Here is a 26,989-nt window from a genome sequence, read left to right as displayed (position 1 = left end):
TCTCAAATCCATTCCTCCCATCTGCCTGCCCCGATACCACATACCAGTTCTCATTCACTTCAGCTAGGACTGTGCTCACTGAGGTCATCTACATAACCTCCTGCCCATCCTGGTCAAGGAGCCATCTCCCTTAGAGCAGGAAAGGACTTTAGTCTAGAAATTATTTTTAGGTTCAAGGGGAAGTAGAATGATATATCAGAAATAATATGAACCTGGATTTAAATCTCAGTTTATTCATTCATTCACCCAACATTCTTATTTAGTTATTTATTTATTTAAGACAGGATCTTGCTCTGTTGTCCAGGCTGGAATGCAGTGGTGCGATCATGGCTCATTGCAGCCTCAAACTCTTGGGCTCAAGCCATCCTCTCACCTCAGCCTCCTGAGTAGCTAGAACTACAGTCATGTGCCACCACACATAGTTAATTTTTTTTTTCTTTTGTAGAGAAAGAGTTTCACTATGTTGCCCAGTTGCCCAGGCTGATCTTGAACTCCTGGCCTCAAGGGATCATCCTGCCTCAGCGTCCCAATTAGCTGGAATTACAGGCACAAGGCACCACACCTGACTCACTCAATATTTACTGAGGACCTACCATAAGATAGGAGCTGAGGGTGCTTTTTTAAAAAAATGTTTATTTTAGGTTGAGGGGTACATGTGTAGGTTTATTTTATAGGTAAACTCCTGTCATGGGGGTTTGTTGAACAGATTATTTCGTCAGAGGGCGCTTGATGAAGACATAGTTCCAAAGGAGCAATGTGTCCCTGGGTAGGCAGGCACTTTGCCTTTGCTTGGCTTCAGTCTCTCCGTCTGTGAAGTGGGCCAGGTGGTTCCTGAGGTCCCTTCTAACACTATGACTGTTTGTTGTTGTTTTTTTTTTTTCTAATTACCGTGCTCCCAGGCTCATTGAGATCTGCAGGGGGTCGACAGAGGAAATGAGGCCAGGGTCTTACTGAGGCGGGGGCTATGGGTTGGTGAAGGGAAAGCTCCACGCGGAGCCCTCCAGTGAGACTGCCACAGTTCCTGGGCTTCCTCTGCTGGGAACGCTGCCTAAGCTCTGCAAACAGCAGCTGAGGATGGTGGATTTGGTCAGCATTAAGCTGTATTAAGTCGAGCTGTTTCTACAAAGACTACATTTTGGGATAAACATGGTACCAAAGCCACACTAAGACAATATAGCTCTTGGAAGAAGGGGCTTCATGCCACCCTCAGCACCTAGTGCAGAGAACTGTTCTCCTAACGCACCCACATACAGACTTCCTGAGGAGAAATTCCTGCAGCATCCCCACCCTCTGTTCCTGCCGGGAACAAGTCCCTTAGCCCAGGGAGAGGCATATGACCCAAGCTGAGCCAATCAGAGGAGCCATCCTCCTGGCTACTGTGATTGGTCCAGTGTGGTCATGTGACATAGCCTGGCAAATTAGAGTCCTTTTCCCGGGATGTTTTTTAGCTGGTGGGAAAGAATCCTCTCCTGATAGGTCATGGAATGGTGAACTGAGAGGTTTTGGAAGTCATGTCCTCACCCCATAGGAAACCTCTGTGGCAGGGCAGAAGGAAGCCAACAGTTAGAGATGAGAAGCTGAGAAGAGAGAGTCTTGCTGATGTCTAAGTCCCTGTCCCCGACTGCCCTAAGGCCAACCCCACCCCTGCCCTTCTTGGTTATTTAAAACAACAAAATGACTACTTTACTTAAGCTAGTGTGAGTTTGATTTCCGTCACTCAAACCAAGAGAGTCCTAAATGAGACCAGCATCTTCCATTTATTAAGCTCACTTATGTGCTGGGAGCTTTTCACTGTATCACTTTATGTAATCTTGCACACAGTCACATGAACCATATGGCCATTTTATAGACAAGGAAGCTGAGACACAGAGGGCTGAGGGATGTACCTAGGGCCACCCAGCTGTTAGTAAGTGGCCAAAGAGGGATTCAAACCCAGGTCTGCCTAACACCAAACCCATGTCCCTAACTCTTGCCACAGTGCTATTCACACTATGCCCTGAAGCTTCTCCAGTTCTCACTCTCTGGGATGGGCAGCTTCAGAACAGACTCAGCTTCCATGACTTGACCTTTTGTGTACTGGCTTCTTGTACCGCGTATGAACTGCACATAAAATTACTCCCATAAATAATTTTTCAATACAAGATCTTATGATGGTTCTTAGCAGCTTAGCGGGTTAGAGTCAAAGTCTCCATGCTGGATCTGTCCTCACACCTTCACCCAACTAAGTAAATACTTTTTATTGACATCCCCTTTGGAAAGTGAGACTTTTCTGATCTGATCAAATCCTGGCCTTAAGAACGACAACCAATATTGTAATCTTCAAAGGCTCAGACAGGTGAAATGACTTGCCTAGGGTCACTCAGCTTGCCAGGGTCAGAACAGAAATTGGAACCCAATTATTCATTTTGTCTAGTCCTAACAAATTTCTGAGTCCTTATAGTCCTCAGGGTTCCAAACCTTCTGTCGCAAGACCTCTGCATCCAGGCACAGATGACGGTGGTGGTGACGCCAGCACTGGTAGAGAGAGGTGCAGAGAGCCCCACCTTTTTGCTTGGAATTGGTGAGAGCTTGTGCTTACCTCATTAAAACTTCTTGTGGGAGCTCCTGTGGAAAATGCTGTGGTCAGGAAGTTAGGGTAGAGTACCTGCCCTTCCCTCTAACAATAGAGCATTCCTCCAAAACCAGTGTAGGCTGGAGGAGGCCATGGGCTAGCTCAGGTCTAGCCTTGGCACTGGCAATCACTGATTCACATTGAATATGTACATCACCATCATCATCACCACCACCTACTCTTCTTCCAAGAAGACAAATAATAACCACCACTTATATCAAGCAGTCTTATATGTGCAGACATTCACAACAGCCCAGTGGAGGACGCGCTATAGTCATGCCACATGACAGATGATGAACCTAAGGTACAGAGCAATTAAATGACAGGGCCTAGGCATTGCAACACAACTGCAAGTGGCAGAACTGGGATTTGAACCAGGCATTCTAGCTCCAGAGTCCATTCTATTAGTCATCTCGCTACATTATCTTCCTTTTGAATCATGAATCAGGGTATTCTCTGGCAATCAAACCATTCCAGATTCGGTGGGGAAAAGGATACATCAGATAGCATGTTTCTGAGGCTGAAATCACCAATTTTGTATTAATAGAATAGGGTATTATCTATGTATTAGAGTAAGTTAATCCAATATCTATTTGGAGGGAGCCCACGGGGCTAACTGTATGGTTTAAAGAAATGGGGAAAAGTTCCGTTCTCTGTTATTTATATGGGCAGATTGAATGAGCATTATCTCCGCAAGGTCTTCCCAGTACTTTATAGTTTGCAAAGCAAACTTTAATGTCTCTGAACTCTAAGGATACTCTGGCAAGCAAAGATAGTCTCTCATTTTACTAATTAGGAAACTGAGGCCAGAGAGGGAAAGGCACCTGCTCTGTGCATCATGCGTGCATGCACATGTGCCTGTGTATGTGTGTTTCTGTGTGCAAGAAAGGCCTTGAATGCTCCTGCAGACCTGGATCCCAGTTGTGAGAGAAGTTGTCAGTTCTGATGCTTGGCGGGCAGCGTTCCGGCCCACTGCCCATGTATGGAGTCACTCAGACTTAGCTAAGTACACAGCAGCCAGGAGCCTGTGTTTCAGCAGCTAAAATCAGTGGGCAGCACAAAAATGTAGGTGTAGCTCCCTCGCCGCTTCCACCTTGCCCCTCTTCTCTCCCCTCCCACAGGGTGGAACTGCCTGGAATAAGCTCAGCCCAGATAACAAGTCTACACATGCAGCATCCAGGGAATAAGCACAGGGCAGCTCTGGGGCACACATGGAGACATGTATCTTCATACACACGCACATATGTACACACAAATATACACATGCATGACTTTCTAGAAGCTATACTAGAAAGGTATGGGCTCTGGGTTGTGATCTAGCTCAGCCTCTGACTCTTGGGTGACTTCTGATTCTTCCTTCCTCAAAGTCCTGACTTTCCACCTATAAAATGGGAAGGATGATGTCAACCTCCCAGGGCCGCTGCAAGTATACAAAAAACAAAGATGGCAACATTTGAGAGCTCTGGATCTGAAAGAGCCCTGGGAGACAATTAGCCTAAAGCTTTCATTTCACAGACAGGGATGCTGAGGCCCAGGGAGAGACAGGGAACTGCCCAGATCACAGAGCAAGTCAAGCACAGATAGCCTAGAACACAGGCCTTCTGATTGCCAGGACCCACGCTCCAAGCTCAAGGCCTGGCCTTGAAAAGACCAAGGTGCTGTCATAGGTGAGTTCTTGCTCTTGCCCCTGAACTTCCATGTGGATGTCGTTTTGAAACCAAAATACTCTGTAAACAACACTTATTAACACAAGTTCACATGTACTCTGCTGTGGAAGGAGATGCGTCTTTCTTCTTTGTGAAATATTAGCTCAGATAGGCATACAAAGAACTCTATGACTCTCAGTTTGCTTAACATATTTGATTTGCTTTATGCCTACAAGTTCATACTAAGCTCTTGCATATCTGCTGGCCTCTTTATTGACACTATATCAATCCAACTTTCCCTAAAAGATAAACTCCAAAAGAGATAGAAAGATGGAGCACTGGGAGACAGGAGAGCCAGGGTTCAGGGCCACTGGGAGAGCTTCCCCCAGTCCCTACCTGTCTGCTTGCCCATCTGTAAACTGCCAGGCTTGCATGCATCTGGTGTGTTTTCCCGGACGGAGTTTGACTACTGATGTCCTCCTTGGCTCCTGGGGCCCGCTGTAAACACCACTTCCTCACCCTGGCTCTCAGTTTGCCCCCTACAGTGTGGCTGTCCACATAGGTGCCCGTCTACCTGTCAGGTTGGGTGCTTCTCAACGGCAGGAGCAAAACCCCACTGTCTCTCACAGGACCCAATCCTGAGTAGCTGCTCAACCATGTGTGTCCAGTGGGATGGTCCTGGGTGAACTTAGAGTTAAGGCTCGCAGATCACAGAGGAAGGAAGAACTTAAAGACAGCAGGTAAAACACGGGAAGTCAACATTCCCTCCTCCCTCTGCCTCTGCCACCAGCCTATGTAATATTCCAGGTAATGCAACAGGACTTTGTGGGTGACCTAGATTTTCTTCATAATAATCACAGCCATTTACTCAGCACATCCCATGCACCCCACACTTCATGTGTATTAGCTGTAATCCTAACACCAGTCCTAATCCCATTTTCAAGATGTGGGGCCTGAGGTTCAGAGACCTCAAATTATTTCCTTACAAGGAGAGGAGCTAGGATTTGACCTCAGGTGTGTTTGATTCCAAGCCCGCATTCTCTCTGTAAAACATGCAGCCTTGTTCAGAACACTGATAGTCTCAGCAGGCTTGAGGCTAAAGCACTTCCCTCTGCTGGACGTTTTTTCTTAGTGTAGAGGGTAGAAGTAGTGAGGGTGGGGCTCTTCCCTGACCCTGACTCCTTGTGGCTATTTCTTCCTTCCCCTGCCTCAATTTCCCCACGAGCGCAATGAGGAAAGAGACCAGATGCACTCAAACTTATTGGTGGTTCCAATCAACCATCCACTTTTCTTTTTTTTTACTTTGGCTTTTAGGAGCAAAGACATGGAAGAAGACGGGGGTGGGGTAGGGGTTGTGGTGTCAGGGGAAGAACCAATTGTAACTGCTGTCCTCAGAAGGGGACTGGGGAAGTAGGGGGGAATCAGGCTGTCTGAGATGGTGATAATTTGCCTCGTTGGTCCATAGTCCATGCAAACACAGAAATCAGGAAAGTTTCCATACCTGGCTGAGTGGCAGAATCACCTGGGGATACTTTCTAAAAGGCAGATTGCTGGGTCCTGCTCCTGGAAAGACCAAGGCCATAAGTTTGGGCAGGGGCAGGATAGTGCATTTTTAACAAGCCCTCCAGATGATTCTGAGACAGAAGTTTGGGAGCCACTGTCTGAGAGATCTGGGGCCTAGGATTCTTCTAAGTCCAAACACTAAGGGGTCAGGCAAGCTAAAGTGGGGGCGGTGCTACTGTGAGTTAAAGTCCCTGATTTATTTGACATAGTCACACACGTTAAGATGTTTTATATCCTACCTTTAACCAAATAAGATTTAAAGTGGCATAGGGAAAAAAATTACACTAAGAATCCCCAAATTAAAAGGTAATTAGGACTCCCAATATATACATAACAGAAATGCGCTTGTGTATTAAAAGACACTTATAAGCATGTTCATTGGCCGGATGCGGTGTCTCATGCCTGTAATCCCAGCACTTTGGGAGGCCAAGGTGGGTGGATCACCTGAGGTCAGGAGTTTGAGACCAGCCTGACCAACATGGAGAAACCCCGTCTCTACTAAAAATACGAAATTAGCCGGATGTGGTGGCGCATGCCTGTAATACTTGGGAGGCTGAGGCAGGAGAATTGCTTGAACCCGGGAGGTGGAGGTTGTGGTGAGCTGAGATCGCGCCGTTGCATCCAGCCTGGGCAAAAAGAGCAAAACTCCGTCTCAAAAAAAAAAATGTTCATTGCAGCACTGTTTTTAATAGTCATAAATTGGTAACAACCTAAGTATCTTTTAACAATAGAATAGATAAATTGTAATTGTGCAATTGGCTACTATCCCTGGGTGAAAATGAAATAAATCATTGCTACCTGCAAAAGTATAGATGAATCTTACAGATATAATGTAGAGTGAAAGGAGCTAGACACAAAAGAATACATATTGTATGATTCCATTTATAAGAATTTCAAAAACTTACAAATGGAAAAATCAATCCTGATGTCACTTCTGAAGGGTATTGACTGGGAGGAGGCAAGAAGTCATCTGTGGTACTGAGAATGTTCTATACGTTGATCCACATGGTGGGGACATAGATACATATTTTGTGAAAATTCATCAAGTTGTACACTTAATATGAGTGCACTTTACTGAGCGTGTATTATACCTCAACTTAAAAATATGTTAAGAAAAAATATTAAGTTGTGGAAATCTCAATGAATCCCAAAACACTACCATCTAACAAATCATATTCACTGATCAGAATACAAAGCAATTAGAACTAAATTATTGAAAGACAGCTTCCCTTTGCAAACCCATACACCTAGAAACAAAAATACACTTGAAAAGGACTCTTGGGTTAAAGAGAAATCCAAATGGAAAGTGCACATTTTAGAAGTGAATGATAATGAGAACACCGTTTCTTAGTTCCTGGCACATAGTAGGTACTTAATAAATATTTGCTGAACTGCGTGATTTCACATGTGGAATCTTTTAAAAGTTGAACTTTTAAAAGCCACTTGGCATGGTGGCTCCTGCCTGTAACCCCAGCACTTTGGGAGGCTAAGGCAGGTGGATTGCCTGAGCTCAGGAGTTTGAGACCAGCCTGGGCAACATGGTGAAACCCTGTCTCTACCAAAAAATGCAAAAAATTAGCTGGGTGTGGTGGTGCATGTCTGGGGTCCAGCTACTTGGGAGGCTGAGGTGGGAGGGTTGCTTGAACCTTGGAAATGGAGGCTGCAGTGAGCCAACATTGCACCACTGCACTCCCACCTGGGTGACAGAGTGGGACCCCATCTCAAAAAAAAAAAAAAAAAGGTGAACTTATAGTACAAGAGGGTAGAACAGTGGTTACCAGGGCCTGGGGAGTGAGGGGAGATATTGGTCGAAGTTTACAAATCTGTTATAAGAAGAATAAGTACGGGAGACCTAATGTAAGCATCATGACTATAGTTAATATTAATGTATGATATACTTGAAATTTGTTGAGTAGGCCTCATGTGCCTTATCTCACATGCACACAACATACACACACACACACACAGTAACTATGTAAGGTAATGAATATGCTATTAGCATTACTGTAGTAATCATTTGCCAATGTGTATATATATCAAAACATCATGTTATATACCCAAAATATATATAATTTTTATTTCTCAATCATACTTCAATAAAGCTAGAAAAAAATTTGTTGAATGAATGGATATCCGATCTATGGGATATTGCCAAAGCAATACTCAGAGGGAAATTCATAGCTTTAAGTGTCCTCACTATTAAAAGAGAAAAATTTAAAAAATAAAGAGTGGGACCAACTAAAGTTTCAATTCAAGATACTAAAAATAGAGAAAGAAAAAAATAAACTCAGAGGAAGTAGAAGGAAGAAACCTACTTGAAAGTAGGAATATCAAAATAGAAACAACTAACTCAGGTAAAAAAAGAAACTAGTACAGATGATCAACAAAACAAAAAGCGTTCTTTGAAAAACTGATAAAATCACCGGCCTTAGGAAAAATTAAGGGAAAAAATATATAAGACAAGTAATATCAAGTACAAAAATACTGCTAGGGGTTGAAGGAGAAACCTGACTACAGACACTGAGGAGATTTAAAAACATATAAGAACAGTAAGTAATGAGGACACCACAGTAAAAAGAAAGGAAGGATGGGCATGTACAGTGAAGGCAGAGAGCTTCTTGGATTTCCTGTCTCACTAGGATTCAACATAATGGCAGGATTAGGCAGAGTAACAACACAATTGGGCTGCAGTGTGTGTTCTTGAAGGGCAGAAGCACAGGTTCCCTGGTGGGTGTGCAGGGATCCTGGAATCAGCACAGCATGCCCAGACCTTCCCTCTCTGCCTCATCTTCTCCTACTTGGGTTTTGACCTAGAGAGGGCTGGCATCGCATGAGGGGATCTTTTGGCCCTGCTAGGTTTGTCTCCAGCTCAGGGATGCTTTGAAAATACAGGGTCCCCTCTCTCCAGTGGCTCCAAAGCATTTTCTCCTGGGATGGTCCAGCTCAGCACAGTCTGTAGCCAGGCTCACTCAGTGGGAGGTTGGGAGTGGCCCCACCCAGGGTTGCCTCCTTTCTCCTGAAAGCTATTTGGGCCAAGGACAAGAGCCAGAGGAATCTAGGGCAGTAAGGATGCTGGCCCCCAGGAGATAGCAGCTACCACATCTCCTACAGTGTCACTCTGCTATAGAAGACACTGTATCTATACAGTAGGGATTATAATCCCTACTGTATCTTCCTCTACCTTCTCCTGCCCTGTCTTCTCCTATCTGAGTTCCTACAATGGATTCTCAAAAATGTATGCATATATATGTATATAAGTTAATATAAGTATACAAGTTAATATATGTATTTGTTAATTACAAATTTTCCTAATATAAAGAATGTGTAGCCCACAATTTAAAAATAGTAACATGCAATACTCTACTGTAAATTCCATACACCTTTAACTTCAGTGCTGCTGTTTGTTGTAAAATCCACTAGCAGTTGGCCGGGCGCAGTGGCTCACGCCTGTAATCCCAGCACTTTGGGAGGCGGAAGCGGGCTGGTCTCAAGGGCAGGAGATCGAGGCTATCTTAGCTAACACAGTGAAACTCCGTCTCTACTAAAAAAAATACAAAAACTTAGCCGGGCATGGTGGCAGGCGACTGTAGTCCCAGCTACTCGGGAGGCTGAGGCAGGAGAATGGCGTGAACCCGGGAGGCGGAGCTTGCAGTGAGCCGAGATCATGCCACTGCACTCCAGCCTGGGTGACAGAGCAAGACTCCGTCTCAAAAAAAAAAAAAAAAAAATCCACTAGCAGTTTTTGTAATTCTATCACCAAAAATCGTGTTCTAAAATCAAACTACAAACAAATGCTTGTTTACTATAGGACTCAGCAATGAAGTCACTCATGTCATGGAGCCTAGTTTTTCACAAATGTTGATTGATATTTTCATTTACCCTAACAGGTAAGAAAAAATGACATATAATGAAGACATATAATGGAACTTCACTCATTTATCAGTGACACAGATATTACTTTCATTGAATCAGAATTCAATCAGATATTAGTTTTAAATAGAATATTTCCTCATTTGTGGGTGCTATTCACAATATATAAAAGCTATAGACATGACAGACTTTGAAATTTAATCTGCATTATTAATATTTTCTTCACCCCTTTCTTAAGTTCAGAGTCTAAACTTTGCACAATCAACGAAACATTAACTGGAGTCCTGATGTGTAGCATTTGCCCATTTCCATAGTGTAAATACTCCCACCGTGGCCAGTTTCAGCTACCAACATCATGTCCCTGGATACAGAGTTGGGAAGAGATGTATAGTAGCACAGAGCTTTGTAGTATTTTCACCATACAAATGCAATAGTTGCAAACAATCTCAAGAGCATAGATAATAGTAAAACATAGTGAAATAGTTCAGATGTGACAAGTGTTGGGTATTACCTTTGTTTCAAATATTATTTATCAAATTGTAAATTTGTCAAATTTATTTTTAATAATACCTATGTCTAAGCACTGGCATGTGAAATTCCTAAAAGCAGCTAGCCTCCAAAAGCTGGTACAAACTGGCTCCAGTGTGCCACATGTCCTCACCCTGCTTTGAGATCCAAATGCCACTCCTGCTTAATGCCCTCTCTGATCACCTCAGGCAGAGATCGTCTCTTCCTCCCATGTGCCCCGTGATAGTGAGCACTGGGTCGGGTCTGCCTCTCTCCCTCAGGGCCTGGCATTGAGTAGGCTCCTTTGCTCAGTGGGTGTGTGCTGAAGCCACGTGTTGAACTAGCTGTCTCCACCCCAGCTCCAGGTGTCTTTCATGACCTGATCCTCCTGTTGCATGGTCACCAGCTCCTCCACTCTGCCCCTGTGGGCCACACGGAAACTGTAGGGACAGGTTCTCAACAGCAGGAACAGCCCATTGGTCTCAGTTTCCTCATCTGTAAATGCAAAGGATGGAGGGGATGAAAGAAGGAAAACACCCTGATATCCTTTCTAGTATCTTTTTCATAGGCATATGGCTGTGGGCAGTTGTATTTGGCCTGTACATGCAATTTAGTGTCTTGCAGCTTCTAGCAGAACACATCATAAGCAAGTTTCCATGTTCCTGTATAGTTTCCACATTTTCCACTATTGGATGCAGAAGACGTCATATTTTATGTAATCAAAATTTGCTTTACCTTTCCTTTGAAACAATTGTGTAGTTTTCAGTTTTATGTCATCACCACCAGCATAGAGATTTTTCATTTCAGAAAATATATGCCAATCATAGACTTTATTGTTGTTTTATGTGCTTTTTGTTTTAACTACTAGTGCTATTGGACATTTTTCTACTAGCTGTCCCTGCCCTCTTAGATCGACAGCACAGATCACAAAGCCTGATTCTCAGCATCTGCAGTCATTACCAATAACAGGAGCTCCTGGAATGTGTAGGATTTTGACCCCAGACTATGCTTTTGAATGAATACAGCTGCCATTTATACTCTTTTGGGCATTTCTCCTGTCAGGCTGTTAAATATTGCTTTTTGCTGGGGTCAGTGGGCCAACTTCTTGAGTCTTTGTTTACTTCTACTCTGAAAAACTAGACGCGATAACTAAGCTTGTTAGAATTGCTTAGAAGAAAACACATTCACCGAGTGTCAGAGCCTGGTTGCTTCATTAAAAGGAAGGTGCATGGGTTCATGTTATCTTGTACAGTTGCCCAGAGGCCTTGCAGGTTTATATCCTAACTCTTGGCTGGGGTCTGAGTGTCTGAGGATGTTGGATCAATTACCCAAAAAAAGAGAAGTGACCACATTTGGTTTTATTAAAATCATCCTGGTAGAATGAATGTGGATAGCAATACCTTCACATGTGCATTGAACTTGACATTTTTTTTTTTTTTGAGATGGAGTTTCACTCCTTTTGCCCAGGCTGGAGTGCAATGGTGTGATCTCGGCTCACTGCAACCTCCACCTCCTGGGTTCAAGTGATTCTCCTGCCTCAGCCTCCCGAGTAGCTGGGATTACAGGCATGCGCCACCACACCCGGTTAATTTTGTATTTTTGGTAGAGATGGGGTTTCTCCATGTTGGTCAGGCTGGTCTCGAACTCCCGACCTCAGGTGATCCACCCACCTCGGCCTCCCAAAGTGCTGTGATTACAGGCTTGAGGCACTGCGCCCGGCTGAGCTTGACATTTTATGAAGCCCTTTTGATATATCGTTTATCCTCACCATAACATGATAGGTAGGGACAGCCTTCCCATTTTATGGATGAGGATGATCAGTCCCAAAGAGATTGTGTGTCTTGCACAAGATCCCTCAGCTCGTCTGTGGCAGGACCAGCCATCAAACTGGGACTCAAGACCATTGCTCCCTGGCTACATGTGAGGTCTGCATGGCTTCAGCTTCTGTGTGTCTGGCTCCTTCACATGTTTGCTCATGTTCAAGATGCAGGATGTGGGGAAATTGCCTTTAAATACAATAAAAGAGAAACAAGCCGATGAGCTCACAAGGTTTTTTGTTAGGGATGGTACCTGTTTATCTAACTTAAATCACTAATACTGCCGTTGCAGCCAGGAGATGGGCCACCCTGTATCTGAGACATAGGTGTCTCTCTGTGGAGTTCATAAGGTCATAATTTAATTCACCTTGATCCCTGATGCTGGACAAATTCAAGAGGACAGGGGTGATTATAGGGAAGGGGACATTAATGTCAACCTGGGGACACCCATGAGGGCTTTGGATTTCTGAGGGCAGATGGGGTGTGTAGGATTTTGTGGTACATGAAAGATTTCCTATGGGTGGTCCTCCATAGATAAGGCATTAGCTCATGTAGTGAGACAGTAGGGCACAGAAAAGGGCACATGGGATTTGGAGTCAGATACACCAGGGCTGGAATCCTGACTCTGCCACCTGAGTGACCCTGATAGGTCACTCAACCTCTCTGGGCCGTCTCCAGAGAGGCCTGTCCTATGTGTCTCTTGTTCTCATTTCTCGTGTTCTGAACGTCCAGCCTGGAAGGAATTAGTCCTTCTTTGAGCTGATATTGTCAGTGCATATCCATTTAGATTCCTTTACCATTGGGGGCCTACCTGTGGCCAGCATCTGCATCTCTTTGTCAGAGGATAGAGTCCAGGGCTGCTGGCGACTGTTCTGTCCGCACACAGGAGAGCTGGAAGTACCTGGGAGATTACCCACCCCCACCCACTCTTTTTCTAGTAATTGATGGGTGCTGAGGCATAAGTACTCTAGCCCCCAGCCCCTGACCAGGACGACTCACGGGTGTGACCCTCACCAGAGCTCCCTGGTGGGATTAAGCCAAAGTTCTCCTCCGAGTGCCTTGTGTGATACGGTGCCCCACTGCCTTACCATTTTTTCTGGGAGCACTTCCTAATACATCACTTTCACATGAATCTTCCTCCAGGGTTTCTTCTGGGGACCCCAATTAAGATGCAGCCATGGAGAGGTAGTTGCCCAGGCTGCAACACAGAACCCAAATGGGCTTACTCAGACTGCCAAAGGGCTTCACCATCCAAATGCGTAGGTCCTCCAAATTGGCTGCTTTTTTAAAAAAGAAACTGTTAAAACGTTTCAATAAAGCAGCCATTTTTAAAAAAGCTCTTTTATAAAACCATTTACTTTTGTAGCATTTTAAAGGAGTTTTCATATACATGGTTTCATTTGAGTCTCATTACATTGCTAATATAGCAAGAAGTTATTATCCTCTTTTTCAGGTGAGGAAGTTAAGACCCAAATTGATGAAGTGATTAGACAAAGTAACCCAAGAGGTACACCATAGAATAAGATATAGAAACCCACATTTTCCAACCCTGGTTCAGCCATAGGACTGATAGTTTTTGATAGTGTGACTGATGATCGTGAAGAGGTGTTTTCAGGCATCTTTATTGGTGTTTTGGACATATTTATTTATCCTGTTGTAATGTCTCAGAGCTCGTCCACTCCATTATTCTTAAAAAGGAAAAACCTTTTATGTAATTTTTCTCATTATAAAACTAATACATTCTCATTACATAAAATTTTGAATATACAGAAAAAAAGAACAATATGAAAAAAACTTTTCATAATTCCAAGAGTTTCTTTTAGTCTTTTATTATGGTCCTTTCTTTTTTCTGTGCAGTTATTTCTTTCTGTGTTATATGCTCAAAATAATTTGCACTTAATTATACCTATAATTGCCAATGCACAACCATCTTTGTTGATCTGTGAGGGCCCCTTTTTTTGTTCTAATCACACACTTTTCCTTTACAAAATAAGCATTAAATACCTTGTGCTGGAAAGTAAGGCAGTGCTCAAAAAAGTGATGGGGACCTGTCAAAAGGACAAGGAAATCAACTTGAAGAGGCTTCCACTGGCCAAATCTAGGACAATTTGAGCATCAACATAATTAAGAAAATAAAGAAAATAAACCATTGAAAAATAGGAATCTATGAGTCTGTGCAAGAATAAATAGATCAATAATAAGTAGATAAGAAACAGGAGAGAGGAGAGGGCTCCTGCTTACAGTAAAATGCCAACCATTAAATGTGAAGATGGTGCTAAAGTTGGAAGATCATCATTTTCCAACTATCATGGAAAACATTGATTTGAATAAGAATCTTCAAAGGGTGTGACACCTTAGGGGGACATTTTTTATTTATAGAAAAGTTACAGAGGTAATGCAGAAAATTCCCATATATCATCACAAAGTATTCCCTAATGTTAACCTGTTTTTGTTTTTGTTTTTGAGACAGGATCTCTCTCTGCCACCCAGGCTGGAGTGCAGTGGCACAATCATGGCTCACTGCAGCCTCAAACTCCTGCGCTCAAGTGATCCTCCCACATCAGCCTCCCAAGTAGCTGGGACTCCAGGTACGCACCACCATGCCTGGATAATTTTTTAAATTTTTTGTAGAGACGGGTCTCACTATATTCACTAGGCTGGTCTCAAACTCCTGGCTTCAAACTATCCTCCCACCTCAGCCTCTCAAACTGTTGGGATCACAGGCATGAGCCGCCACACCCAGCCCAGAATCCTTCTTGCCCCAACTCCTCCATGAAGCTTTCTTGATTATTTCCCTCCTATCAGAATTTTTCTGTTTCTGTTTTACATTACCTTGACTACGTTACATGCACCTCTACTTAGCACCTGCCTCATTGCACCTTGTTTTTGAATTAAGAGGTGATATGTCTGTCTTCCCCTCTTACAGAAGGGAAGAATGAAATCTAATCCCTCCACCTGGCAGAGTGCAGAGTGTACCTACTCTATGGGTAGGTTCTCAATGACTACTGCTGAAGGAATTCAAACTGAAATGGAAGAAGTTTTCTCATGGATCAAAAGTCTTAGCTGAAGACTTCATGTTTTCCATTAACTGCAGTCACTCACATCTATTTAAGCTTCTGCTATCAAAAATGGAAAAGCAGCCAGTGACTTCTGCTTTAACCGAGGCTGTCTTGTATTTTTTGTAAACTTTTTTCTATTTTTAAATTTTTATCTAGAGAAAGGGTCTTGCTCTGTCATCCAGGCTGGAGTGCAGTGGCACGATTGTAGCTCATTAACTTCAAACTCATGGGCTCTAACAATCCTCCTGCCCTAGCCTCTCAAGTAGCTCAGACTACAAGTGCAAGCCCAGCTAATTTTTAAGATTTTTTGTAGAGATGGGGTCTCGTTATGTTGCTATGTAGCTGGTCTCAAACTCCTGGCCTCAAGCAGTCCTCCTGCTGCCACCTCTCAAAATGTTGGGATTACAGGCAGGGCGCAGTGGCTCATGCCTGTAATCCCAGCACTTTGGGAGGCGGAGGCAGGTAGATCATTTGAGGTCAGGAGTTCAAGACCAGCCTGGCCAACATGGTGAAACCCAGTCTCTACTAAAAATACAAAAATTAGCCAGGTGTGGTGATGCGTGCCTGTAATCCCAGCTACTCGGGAGGCTGAGGCAGGAGAATTGCTTCAGCCCAGGAGGCGGACACTGCAGTGAACCAAGATGGCACCACTGAATCCCAGCCTGTGCAACAGAGTGAGACTCTGTCTCAAAAAAAAAAAAAAAGTGTTGGGACTACAGGCATGAGCACCTGCACCTGGCCAGTCCTTTTAAATACTGTACTAAAGGGAAGATGCTGATTTGGGTTGCAATACGCTTTCACACTCTGCCATCTGTGTGGGGATGCACTGTGGAGTGATGCAAAGAACTGGCCTCCACATTTGGAGAGCACGTCTGAGGGGCCAGGAGACCTCTCCATGCCTCTCATTTCATTCTAGACCATTTAATCTGCTGCAAGTGAAAACTGATTGACTCCTTTACATTCTAACTAGGTTTTATTATTTTTTGTGAATTTTTTTGTGTCTCTAGGTATGAGAGAACAGAAATAGAGATTTGGGTGGCTTTAGCTGTTTAAAATAAGGTGACCAAACCTCCTTTCTGCCTGTTCCTGCTATTTCAAACACCACTGTTCTCCACACAATGAAAATGGCCTTGTTCCTTAAGGTAGTGTACTCTTTCATTTTATTTTTAATGATAGGAAAGAAGAAAGAAGACATTTTATTTTGGATTGTGGTATTCATTGATTGGAAACCTCCCAGGTTGTTTTCTAGTTCCATACAACTTGGAAAGAAAAAAGTACAAGTCAGGGAGACAAATATTTGAGAGTGATGTGTACATTTCAAGAATGTTTACCCAATTCAGGGAAGAACCATTTGCCACTAAAAGGTCCCCCCGCCTGTCCTCATCACCATGTCACCCTGCAGAAGGTCAAGTGGCCTTATGCATGAGGCTAATTCCCTGCATTCCTGATCAAGGGGCAGGGAGGGCCAGGCAAAGTCACTGCTGTCTTCAGCAGACAGTGGCCATGATGGAATTAGGACCAGAGGCCCACAGTTGCAAAGATAACTCAAATACCCTGTAGGCTTCCTTCAAAGGCTGAAAAGCACAGGCTTGGGGCTTCGTTCATTGGAACAAAACTTTACGAAAAGAAACAGGTACACTGATGTCTAGGCATCTTTAAGACAGGTAACCTCAAATGACATTTACATAGCATGTTATGGTTTATTGTATACATCTCACCAGCCTGCTAAAAAGAAAAAGGGTCTCTCCTGAAGGCTGAGTTCCAGCCCCAGCTCAGCTACTGACTTGCTGGGTAATCTTGGGCAGGTAACTTACTTTCTCTGGGTCCCAAGTTCCTCATTTGTAAAATAAGGGGTGGAGTAGGTCATGTCTAAATTGGTCCCTGATTCTTACCTTGTAACCCACATGATGACTCTGAGATAGGGAAAAGAACACTATCCTCATTTTACAGATAAAGAAAACTGAGGCTCACTGAGGAAAAGAATCCTGGCCAAGGTGGATTAGAATCCTCTAACGCCTGTATTTTTCAATTTACATTGAAGACGCCATTGCATGGCTGCTATGGGAATTTTTGTACTGGGGACAGAAGGCATCATGGGTGAAGGACAGCATGAACAAAGGCCCAGAGCCCCGTGTCTGCAGCCCAGGCTCATCTGCTTCCCTCAGGATGCTCACCCCTCTCTCTTTAGGGGTTCCAAAGTTGGCTTACTGATGTTATATAACCTTGATTTCTATCAACACCTAAAAAATACCAGTTATTTCCACTGGCAGCCAGTCAGAAATAACCCCAGAATGGCAAGAATGCAGCTGTGTCTCTTAGGCATGTCAGCAAAGGGCATGCTGACTGAGTCCAAGCAGAGAAACGCCTGAGCTGAGAAGCAGCCCCTACAGGACACATGGGCAGCAGAGACATGAATTCAAAAGATGGGAATTCCCTGCATAGCCGCACACCATCACCCACTGTGAGTGGCACCCAAGTCATCTCATGTACTCCTCACAGCAGTCCTAGAGGTAGCAAACCTCATCATCCCCATTTTACAGTGGAGAAAGCCAAGGCCCTCCGAGCTTGGGGAGCTTGCCCAGAGAGTCTCTATGTATTGGAACTGGGGTGGAATTTGAACCCAGGTCTGCCTGTCTGCAAGGACAAGGTGTCTTTCCATTAATTACCCCATGACCACATTCTACCTTCCAGATTATTTTGAGATACTCTGCAAAATTCTGTAGTCACACGCAAAAGATTAGTCACCTTGAACAAGTAATGGTTGGATACTTCCGGGGTGGAAAACTAGGTGGCTCCTGGCCATGGAAAGGAGAGAGATCTCTTCTTCAGCATATATCCTTTACACTGGTAACGTTTTGAACTATATGCATGTATTACCTATTCAAATGAATGAATAAATGAATTTTTGTTTGATTTGTTTTTTGAGACAGGATCTCACTCTGTCATCAATGCAGTGATCAGGGCTCACTGCAGCCTCGATCTCCTGGGTTCAGGAGATCCTCCCACCTCAGCTTCCCAAGCAGCTGGAACTACGGGGGCATGCCACCTTGCCTGGCTAAGTTTTTGTATTTTTTGTAGAGATAAGGTTTTGCCATGTTGCCCAGCCTGGAATTAATTAAATTTAACAAAAGGTAATCTAGTATATTAGTTTCTGGTGGCAACTATAACCAATTGCCACAGCCTGGGTAGCTTAAAACTACAGAAATGTATTCTCTCGCAGTTCTAGAGGTCAGAAGTCTGAAATCAAGGTGTAAAGAGGGCCCTACTCCCTCCTGAGGCTCTAGGGGAGGGTCCATCCCTTGCCTCTTCCAGCTTCTGATGGCCTCATGCATTCCTTGGCTTGTGGCCACATCACTCCAACCTCTGTGGTCACATTGCTTCTTCCTCCTCTTCTCTGTGTGTCTGTCTTATAAAGTCACATGTGATTGCTTATAAGACAACCCACGGAATCCAGAATAAGTTCTGCCTCTCAAGATCCTTAACCACATCTTTGTCACATAAGGGAATAATCACTCTTTTGCTATATAAGGTAATAGTCACAGGTAGCAGGGATTAGGATGTGAACGCAGCTTTTGGGGCCACCATCCAACCCACTACACCAGAAATTAGCAGGTGAATCTCCACCCCTTCCCTGTTTGATGTTATTTTGTCTCTCTCAGTATATTCCTTTGGGTGGGACACTTGTGTCTAGAAACAGCAATTGTCGGTTTGAATCTCATCCATAGTGTTTCTCCGGCCTTCTTTTCTTTCTTTCTTTCTTCTTTTTTTTTTTTGTTTGAAGCAGAGTCTCGCTCTGTTTCCCAGGCTGGAGTGCAGTGGTGCAATCTCAGCTCACTGCAACCGCCGCCTCCTGGGTTCAAGTGATTCTTCTGTCTAAGCCTCCCGAGTAGCTGGAATTATAGGCGCATACCAGCACACCTGGCTAATTTTTTTGTATTTTTGGTTGAGATGGGTTTTTGCCATGTTGGCCAGGCTGGTCTCAAACTCCTGACCTCAGGTGATCCACCCGCTTTGGCCTTCCAAAGTGCTGGGATTACAGGTGTGAGCCACCATGCCCAGCCTCTACGGCCTTCTTGAAGTGTTATGTGCTTAAGCTTGGGAGTCAGCCAGATGTGTTTTCTAATCTCAGCTCTTTCATTTGCCACCTGGGGGGCCTTCAGGAAAACAAATCTGCACATTTTCCCAGATTAATACTCCTAAAGCACAGTTCTGATGACATTACATCCCTTTTTTTCAGGCCTTCAGTGGCTTCTAGTACCAACCAAATGCTTTACACACCCCTTGCCTTGGCGTTCAAAGCCTCCTAATCTTTCATGACCCCCCTGCGCAGGCCCTAAGTTTCTAGCGCGTTCATCTCATGATAACATGGACTTGCCTTGCTCTTCCCTGCTTCCCTGCCTTGCTCACGCTCTTCCCCTGGCTAGAATCCCTTTTCTTCCTCATCAACACGTGTTTACATCCTTCTCATCCTTAAGGCTCAGCTCAATGCCACTTCCTCCATGATGCCTTTCTTCATCTTTTTATCCAGGCAGAATCTCTACTTCCACAACTCCCTCAGTGCACCACATCTCCTGCACAATCTGCCAGGTGTGGCTCTGCAGCGCAAGCCTCTCCACTGGCCTCCTCCTCCCTTGGTGACCAGAGGGCTCTTGCAGGCAGGAAATGTTCATCTTAGGCACTGTCAGAGCCAGGAGCAAGGACTGTGAGAGGACACGTGCTCAGTGTTCAGTTCTTCCTTCCTTTCCTCTTTTCTTTCTTTCTTTTTTTCTTTTCTTTTGAGACAGGGTTGTGCTTTGTTGCCCAGGTTGGTCTTGAACTCCTGGCTTCAAGTGGTCCTCTTCCCTCAGCTTCCTAAAGTACTGGGATTACAGGCGTGAGCCACAGCGCCCAGCCCAGTACTGATTCTTAAGCTGAATTGACATAAAAAGATTAGAAACTGTACTGGAAGTATCCTTAGTGGTCATGTGTTCAAACTCTCATTTTATAGACAAGGAAATTGAGACCCAGACTGGGAAAGGACATGTCTTCCAGCCCAGTCTTCCAGGAAAATTTGAGGAATTAAAAGAGAAGGTTCAGAGGTTCAATTTGGGACACTATTAGCCTCTGACCTGGGAATCTCTTCATTTGTAATGATGTCAAATGGCAAAGGGCATGCATTTCATGGTGAATTTTGTTTAGGAGACCGAAAAGGCCAGATCACTTGAGGTCAGGAGTTCAAGACCAGCCTGGCCAACATGGTGAAATCCCATCTCTACTAGAAATACAAAAATCAGCTGGGTGTGGTGGTGGACGCCTGTAATCCCAGCTACTTGGGAGGCAGAGACAAGAGAATCACATGAACCCAGGAGGCGGAGGTTGCAGTGAGCCAAGACCACACCACTGCACTCCAGCCTGGGTGACAGAGCAAGAGCCTGTCTCAAAAAAAGAAGAAGGAGGAGGAGGAGGAGGAGAAGAAGAAGGAAAGAAAAAAAGAAACATACAATTTTGTTTCTCTCTATGGTCCAGCTGTTACCAGCAAATTGCAACTCTAATCTCAAACTTGGCTTGGTTAGCATGCACTTTGTATTTCACCCTAATTTTGTTGTTGTCATTTTTTAAAACTTTCCTTACTCAGCTTTAGGCCAGAACTTCCAGATTCAAAGTTTTGGCACTGTCTTTGAGAGTCCTGTTTTCCCAGGGGAAACACAGCAGGAAAATGCAAGTTCCCTTACCTAACAAATCCTTCCAGTCATGTACAACCTCAGAAGGGCAAACCAGTCTTCATCAACATGTCTTTGCTGTCTGGTAAAGTATAAAAAGCGTGAAGCAGAAAGGCAGATTGGAACACCTGTGGCTATTATGAAAACCATGCCACTTCCCAGCCTTGCGTGTTTTCTGCTCAGAAAGTATGCACCTGTCAGCCACAGCTGAAAACCCAGCAATCTAGGGCCCAGAGCTAGGGCTCAGATTAGTTGACTGAGGAATTAGAAGGATTTCAAAATAAGCCTATTAATTCTGTTGTATTGAAATATCTTCCATCTCCACACAGCCAAAGATAGCTGAACTTTTGTTTGACATTTTACACGGTGTCTTATACCTGCCTGAAAGAAGGGGTGCAGGTCTTCACAGAATGAGGAAAGGCCAGAGATTTGGACTCCAAAGACCACAGCTTGGATTCTAAGCTGTCACTTACCAGCCAAAAGGGAATCTTGGCCCAGTCACTGAAGCCCCCTGAGTCTCAACTACCTCATCTGTAAAGGGTCTCATCAGGCCCACATTAGATTATCTACTCGACCATCAGTTCAAGCTCTAAGGTAATGTGTCATTGTTCATGTTATTACCAACTTGAGAGAAAAAGAAAAGCAAAACTTGGTGGTTCAGAGAAGACCATTTATCTGGATTTTCTCTGTTATAGAAAGGTCAAAATCACCCATCCTTCCTAATCTTGGTCCTTTGATTTATGTCTGATTGAGGGAAGAGGTGGTCCCAGCACCCGGGGTGGGAAGAGCTTGCAGGGGGACCCAGGGGGACTTAGCTGCAGGAGGGGGTTAGCTGACACTCAGGGCCATCATTCGGAACAGCTGAATTGTCCTCTGCGTTTTAGAAGGAACATCTTCATTCTTCCTTCTGGGCCCCAAGTATTTGAAACCACCACCATCTCTTGGAAGGCAGAAAGTCTTACCTTAAATTGTTTTCTTCGTTTATACACTTATTGAATATAAAAACAAATGCTAATACTCTTGTTAAACAGAGGGCCCAGATTTTAACTATGTAAAATCTGTATACACATAGAAGAAAAGACTTGATGAAAATGTTAATAGTGATTGTATTTGAGAGAATAGATAATCAACTTTTACTGCTTTTCTATGTTTTCTAAAAACCTAAAAGTGTTCATCAATTGCTCTTATATGAAAAAGATATTCTATTCAGAAATATTTTAAGGCCCCAAAGGGATAATTCACTTATGTATTTTTATGAGAATTACATATACAATTTCAATAAAAATTAATGATATTATTAATAATACTAAAACATTTGAAAGTAAGATGTTTTATGAATATTAATAAAGATGCCAAGTCTGAGTCACTCAAAAGGTACAGCACAGTGAAAGTATATCATAATAAATTTCTTATGCATTAAAATATCTGTATGATAAAAAAAAATCCACTTCTGAAAATAGTGCACTTTTTTTTTTTTTTTTTTTTTGAGATGGAGTCTCGCTCTGTCGCCCAGGCTGGAGTGCAGTGGCGCAATCTCGGCTCACTGCAACCTCCGCCCCTGGGTCCTGGTTCAAGCAATTCTCCTGTCTCAGCCTCCCAAGTAGCTGGGATTACAGGAACACGCCACCATGCCCAGTTAATTTTTTTGTATTTTTAGTAGACAGGGTTTCATCATGTTGGCCAGGCAGGTCTTGAACTCCTGACCTCGTGATCCACCTGCCTCGGCCTCCTAAAGTGCTGGGATTACAGGCGTGAGCCACCACGCCCAGCCAATAGGGCACTTATAGTAAGGAATATTTGATACATTTAAAAGCACAGCACATGTTTAAAAGAATGTGGGCAACCTCTTGGGGTTTGTTGTACTAGAATGTTTCTTTTTGTTTTTCGTTTTTTTTTTTTTTTTTGAGAAGGATCTCTTCCTGTTGCCCAGGCTGGAGTGCAGTGTCACTAGCCTGACTCACTGCAGCCTCCACCTCATGGGCTCAAATGATCCTCCTGCTTCAGCCTCCTAAGTAGCTGGAACCATAGGCTGATTTTTTGTGTGTGGAGATGGGGTCTTGCTATGTTGTCCAGCTCGTCTCAAACTCCTGGGCTCAAGTAATCCTCCCCTCTTGGCCTCCCAAAGTGCTGGGATTACAGGCATGAGCCACCATGTTCAGCCTCAGGATTTAACCTGTATCTGTTTAGGCTCAAAACCATTGTCAACATTTCTCAAAGTCATATATTGGAATTAATGGAGGGATGTGTTAATGTTTTAAAATATTGCAATTGTTACTAGCAAACATATTTAATAGAAAGTATGTTCTAGAGCAGTGGTAACCAAAATTAAATTCCATGGGACCATCATTTGGTAAGAGGTCTTAGATGTTACCTGAGAAGAGGTTCAGTGGTCAGAGATGTCAGGTAAACCCTACATCCAGATATTCAACAGGCTTATCTTTGCATGGCTTTTGGAGCCTCAAATATATTAATTTTCACTGTGAATCTCCAAAAGGAGTGCACAATATATAGCATGTGCCCATAACATTTGCCCAGAAAGTCATTTTAAAAAATCTTAGGCTGGGCATGGTGGCTCACACTCCAAGCAATTTGGGAGGCCAAAGTGGGAGGATTGCTTGAGCCCAGGAGTTCGAGACCCACCTGGGAAACATAGAGAGACCCTATCTCTACAAAATATCAAGAAAATTAGCTGGATGTGGTGGCTCATGCAGGCCTGTAGTCCCAGCTACTTGGGAGGCCGAGGTGGGAGGATCACTTGAGCCTAGGAGTCTGAGGATGCAGTGAGCTAAGATCACCCCCACTGGACTCCAGCCTGGGTGACAGACCAAGACCTTGCCTCAAAAATGAAATGAAATAAAATAAAATGAAATAGAGATCTTCCACAAAGAAGACTTCTCATTGGGATATGCAGTGTCATAGGCATGTAAAGCCTTTAAAAAATCTTTTCAATTTTAGTTTTGAGGCCATGAAGCAGAGTTTGTCTATCTCTGTTGTCACAAAGGGGGTATTTTGCTGAGTGCAGTGGCTCATGCCTGTAATCCCAGCTCTTTGGGAGGCCGAGGCGGGAGGATCACCTGAGGTGAGGAGTTCAAGACCAGCCTGGCCAACATGGTAAAACCCTGTCTCTACTAAAAATACAAAAAAATTAGCCAGGCACCTATAATCCCAGCTACTTGGGAAGCTGAGGCAGGAGAATCATCTGAACCCTGGAGACAGAGGTTGCAGTGAGCTGAGATCGTGCCATTGCACTCCAGCCTGGGCAAAAAGAGTGGAACTCCATCTCAAAATAAATAAATAAATAACAAAGGGGGTATTTTATAAATTTGAAGCTCATGTATGGGTCACAATAAACCATTTAATGAGTCATATTACATGGACCCAAAGCCTAGTTCTCATTGTTGGGGTGAGTCTCATTCAAGTCATTCCTGGCAGGAGTTCTACAGGTGCACACCACCAGAAGCCTGAAGGGACTTTTGAGCTTCATCACAAGCTCCATGCTTTGACCTCCTTTATGAAAAGGCTGAGGAATGACATGCAACCCTGCACCTCCCTCCTGCCCCCCAATACACAAATGCACACCCTTTGCTGGCATGCGAAGCGTGCTTAGAAAGGGGAGGAAAAACCCAAACCACAAAACCCCACATTCCTTTCAAGGGCTGTCTGTGTACACACCCTGGACCTTTGACTTCCTTTCCCTGGTGAGCAGGGGTTTTTCAAGGCTTTGAGTCAGGAGTTAAGGACTGTTGAGATGCAACTCTAACACGTCCTAGCCTTATGATTTCAGCATTTACCCTCTTGGGGCTCTGCTTTTCCTCTGTAAAATGGGGATAATGAGCCCTAGGACCTGTCTAACCTCCAGGACTGCTGTAAGGATAAAACAACCTTCACTATTCCCTTTATCACTTATTTAGCCAATCTTTGTCATCGCACTGAACACAGGGCATCAATTCTTTCTAAAGACCACAAAATGGCAAAGCTAATGACAAATGAAAACAATTGTAACATTTCACAGAGATGGTTCATATCCATAACACAGGAAGAGTGCTTACATACAAATTTAAATATATATGGGCCATTAAAAGTTGGCAAAAGTCAAGAATATGCATTGACTTTTGCCAATAAATGTAGAAACAAAGAAAATGATTTTGTGTGGGAGAAGCAGCACAAAGGCCAATAAACATATTTTTATGTTGATGCTCATTTTGAAATTTTGAAATTGCTTGGTTATTAGACCTGCTACTGGATGGTGTGATTTAGTGTGTTAATGATAATGCCCACGTTTTACTATGTCGCATTCTGAGACAGAGTCCTCAGGCTTTATCAGAGTGCCAGAGGTCTATGGCAAAGAATCCCTGATCTATAGGAATCTGATAAAATGAAGTATGGTGTATCCATATAATGAAATGCTGTGTTGATATTAAAATTGATGTTTTAGGTAAAGATGTAGAGCAACTGGAACTTTCATACACTGCTGCAACCACTTTGGAGACTATCAGCATTTTCCACTAAAGCTGAACATTATGGTCTAGAAATTGCACTCCTGAGCAGGTAGGTAACAAAAGTGTATACCTATGTTCACCAAAAGACATCTAAAGAATGTTCATAGCAGCTGAAATAGCTGAAACCTGGAAACAACCCCCATGTCCATCAACAGTAGAATGGATAAGTAAATTGTGATATATTTATACAAAAGAATACTATATATGTCAATGAGTGAATGAACTATAGCTATATGCAACAACATGAATCTCATTCATATACTGTTGAGTGAAAAAATATAGACAAAAATAAATACTGTATAATCTACCATATAGTTCAAAAGCCAGACAAGACCATTTTTAGAAATCAGAAGTCAGAATTATGTTGCTTTTGGGGTAAGAGGTGACAGTAACTTGGAGAGGGTCCAAAAGATTTTGGGGGATGCAGGTAATGGTCTCGTATTTTATCTTGGTGGTGAATATAAAAGCAGAGTCAATATGCGAAGATTTATACCTATGATTGTTTGCATGTTTCTGTGAGATTTACCCCTATGATTTTTTGCATGTTTCTGCTTTTATGTTCTACTTTAATCAAAAGTCTGCTTAAAAATGACATAGAAACATTTTCATGACATTGAAAGATATTTGTGTTGTCATGTTATATTAAAAAATACAGGTTTGTGTATAGTGTGCTTTCACTTATTCCCTTCAAGATCATCATACATATGTGCTTTTCAGTACATGACATATCTTTAGGAGGATATATGAGCAATTGATAGAAGTGGTTGCTTCTGGAGAGTGAGAATGGGAGAGAGATTTATTTTTTACTTCATGTCAAGGGTGTCCAATCTTTTGGCTTCCCTGGGCCACACTGGAAGAATAAGAATCGTCTTGGGCCACACATAAAATACATTAACACTAATGATAGCTGATGAGCTTTAAAAAATTGCAAAAAATTTTCATAATGTTTAAAGAAAGTTTACGAATATGTGCTGGGCCGCATTCAAAGCTATCCTGGGCCATATGTGGCCCATGGCTGTGGGATGGACAAGTTTGCTTTATGCTGTTTTGTACCTTCTGAAGATTTAACTGTGTATATGTATTGCCAATTCAATGCATAAATAAATCAGACTATAAAACTGTATAATCTCATTTTTCTGAAAATAAAGGACTGGCACTATCAATATAAAATGATAACTATGTTTACCTCTGGGTAATGGAATTATGGATTATTTTATTTTATTTTTATTTATTTGTTTATTTTTAAGACAGGGTCTAGCTCTGTCACCCAGGCTGGAGTGCAGTGGTGTGATCACAGCTCACTGCAGCCTGGAACTCCTGGGCTCAAGCAATCTTCCCACCTTAACCTCATGAGTAGCTGGGACTACAGGTGTACACCACTGCACCTGACTGATTTTTAAATTTTTTGTAGAGATGGGTTGGGGGTCTCGCCATGTTGCCCAGGCTGGTCTCAAACTCCAAGACTCAGGAAATTCTACCCCCACAGCCTCCCAAAGTGCTGGGATCACAGGCATGAGCCATCGTGCCTGGCTAATTTTTTTTTTTTTAAATCTGATTTTTTCAGTCTTCTAGTACGAACATGTATTTCTTTTGAGAATGAGAAAAGTCATTATAACTTTTTTTGTAGTGCAGTTTTTATCAGTGTTACTGAGGTATAATTTGCAAACGGTAAAATACACTGATTTTTAAGTGCATTGTTCAATGAGTTACAAATGTGT

The 26,989-nt window shown here is 43.2% G+C and overlaps 1 long non-coding RNA gene across 1 annotated transcript in view; it reads left to right on the top strand.

The window, feature by feature from the left end:
- The window catches only part of PTCSC2 (papillary thyroid carcinoma susceptibility candidate 2), a 153,456-nt gene that overhangs the window by 114,066 nt on the left and 12,401 nt on the right, over positions 1-26,989 (top strand). Inside the window, exons 6-9 of the long non-coding RNA NR_147055.1 lie at positions 14,485-14,602; positions 16,081-16,215; positions 21,102-21,366; positions 25,208-25,320. This is a non-coding gene — a long non-coding RNA (papillary thyroid carcinoma susceptibility candidate 2). The remainder of the gene's footprint in view (positions 1-14,484; positions 14,603-16,080; positions 16,216-21,101; positions 21,367-25,207; positions 25,321-26,989) is intronic.

The sequence above is a fragment of the Homo sapiens genome, chromosome 9 (genome assembly GCF_000001405.40).
Source record: "Homo sapiens chromosome 9, GRCh38.p14 Primary Assembly".
Lineage (NCBI taxonomy): Eukaryota > Metazoa > Chordata > Mammalia > Primates > Hominidae > Homo > Homo sapiens.
The sequence above is the reverse complement of the archived record's forward strand: the minus strand, read 5'-3'. Positions and strand labels throughout refer to the sequence as shown.